Consider the following 2,751-nt stretch of genomic DNA (forward strand, 5'->3'; position numbering starts at 1 on the left):
GTTTATGTAAGTAAATATCTTATAATCTCTCATAATTTCTTCTTATATGTTTAATACTCTAAAACTTAAGTATTCATGTCAAAATTAGAAATAATATGCCCACATTTTAAGGGTTGTCATTTGTTTTTTTTTGAAAATTAGTGAAAGTTACGTGATGAATTGTCTACATTATATAAGAAACAAACAGCACATTGAAAACATTAAAAAGTTAGGTGGTTCAAAACTTATTAATCCAATATTTGTAACAAAGTTAGTCTTAATTTTGGTGAGAAAAACCTACTTTTGAATAAGTTCCTCATAGTAATTTGACAATTCTACCATAATAGAACCATTATATTATCATTTTTCTTATTCAGTTTTTTAAGGATTTGAAAGCGGTAGCATTAAAATTGAACTATCATGAAAAATCCTGGTGACAATCACAGAAAAATATAATCATACATAATAGTAAGTAAATGTTTGGGGTTTCTGTGTCTCTGAACTCCTATCAACGAAAGTAAATTAGAAATTAAAGGTGTTATTTAAACTTGTTAAGTAAGTTGGTGTGAAAACACAAGCTCTTAAAAACTCAAAAATTTCACGTAATATTTTTATACTTTTGAGAGAAAGCAACTGATGCAAAAGCAAGGGCCAAAAGAGAATCAAGCATAATATCAGTATTATTAGGCTGCCTCTAAAATAGTCTTCATTAACAAGACAAAATTATGAAATTGGATTTACTTTGTTTCAAAAGTTCTGCCATGAGATAAAGATATTTTCATTGTTTTGAAGTGTCTTTTCTCTTCTATCAGTTTAGATTAAGTTATCTGAGAAGCTTCTATTATTGAGAAAAAAATTGAAGAATGGGTATTAAAAGAAAATTCTACCATATTTGGCTCTTTTGTCACACACCTGCTCATGCACACTCTCCATTCTATATACTGGGTAATCTACCCTTTTAGGGAGACAAATCTCTAATTCCATCAGAGCACTAAAACTAACTCATGAACCAGAATTTCTATGTCTATCATCCCATTCTTTGGGTGTAGATTAGGTTATTACTGACCTGGTACATTTTAAGCTAAAAGACACATTTCTTCCCTGACACAGCCACTAGTATGTGAGAGTGAAGTAGGACTAGGCTAACAACCATAAAAAATCATATTTGAAAAAGGACAATGAGAAACACATGGATTTACTGGTGTGTAATTATCATAACCCAATACCAGAAATAATAAAATTATCTACTCTGAGAGTGGGATAAGTTTCTTCATTAGCCCATCTAGCAAATACTTACTTTGCTTTATGAAAGAAATTCGTTTCTCATTTCTCTCCCCACTCTTGGTTCTGAACTTTAAGAGATTTGATCTTAATCATTTTTTTCTTGTTTTTTTTTTCATGTCCAAACTGAAGTAATTCATATTCAAGATTCCCCATGATCCAGGAAAGCCACTGATGCTACAGCTATTTTCTTCACATTTCATATAAGAAGAAGGAGTAAAATTGGGAATTCCAGCGAAATGACATCTGCTTACATCTGTTGGCCATCTCTAGCTGCCAAGGAGACTGAAAAATATAGGGTTTTTTTGGCCAAGTATGTTGTTTATCAGCACAAAATTATGGTGCTGCAAGTAAAATTGAATGGAAACATAAATATTGGCACAGTAACTAGTAATCTATGAAACAAAGCATAACATCAAATTAATCCTCTTTCTGCAACTGTGGTGTTCTCTTCCCATTTCCTGGTGAAGCCTTGGTAGCACCATCCACTCAATGAGCAACAGAAATCTGACAGTAATTTTTGATATGTATTTTTCTCTCTCACCTCATATCCAATCATGAAAATATTCTCAGAATTCTCTCTCTTTTTATAATGTCAGCCAGATTATGTGCTGATAGCATAAGAAGGTTTGAGGAAGGCATGTCTCACACATGAGTCTGAAAACCTAATCATCACACTTGTGAACCACAAAAAGATCTCTCAGGATGCTTAACTACCTTCAACTTGGGTCCTTTAACTGCATGACACTCTAGCTCCAGCTACATGTTTTTTTCCTTGCACTTTCAATCCAAAACATTAAAACCTATCAGATATATTCATGATCAGTTTCTCATTAGTTTCTTGATCCTTTGCAATTTGTTTTCTATTGCTTTTCTCCAGTCTGCACACCCCTTAAAAAGGTATTCAAGGACATCGACTTGCTAAATCAAGTAAAACTTCCAATTTTCATTTTATTCATTCTCACTGAAGCTTAAGGCTCTATTGCTCACCTCCTACCATCTTGAACCTCTTTTATCCTTTTGACTCCACTTTTACCATCCATTCTTTCTTCCTTCCTATAACTTTATAGGAACTCCTCTTTCTCTTCTATGTCAATTAACTCACCTGTATTTAGGATACTATTTATTATTATTGCCTTAGAAACTATAAATAATCATCTGTCTTCTTTATATTTGACCACTTTATATAAAATAAGTTAATCCCAACGATATTCAAATATCCTGTATTAAGCAGAGTGGCTCTCAAAAGATGTCCATGCCTTGATCCCTAGAATGTATGTGTACATTAGATAAACTAGAATGGATTTTCCAATGTAAATAAGGTTATAGATCTTAAAATAAGATGATTATATTGTATTATCTGGTTGGCCCAGTCTAATCACATAAATCCTTAAAGGAAAGGAAGGAGTGTAGTGGAATAAAACAATGGAGTTTAGAAGTGTAAAAGAGATTTGACCTGGACGACCTGGAAGGGCTAAATGGAAAGCATGC

At 32.6% G+C, this 2,751-nt stretch overlaps 1 non-coding gene across 1 annotated transcript; it reads right to left on the minus strand.

Moving 5' to 3' along the window:
• Nucleotides 1-1,853: 1,853 nt before the first annotated feature.
• On the minus strand, nucleotides 1,854-1,957 carry LOC124906171 (small nucleolar RNA U13). The gene has a single exon (XR_007088758.1). It is a non-coding gene; the product is annotated as a small nucleolar RNA U13 (small nucleolar RNA).
• Between the last annotated feature and the right edge of the window lie 794 nt (nucleotides 1,958-2,751).

This window comes from Homo sapiens, chromosome 2 (assembly GCF_000001405.40).
Source record: "Homo sapiens chromosome 2, GRCh38.p14 Primary Assembly".
NCBI classification, from domain to species: Eukaryota; Metazoa; Chordata; class Mammalia; order Primates; family Hominidae; genus Homo; species Homo sapiens.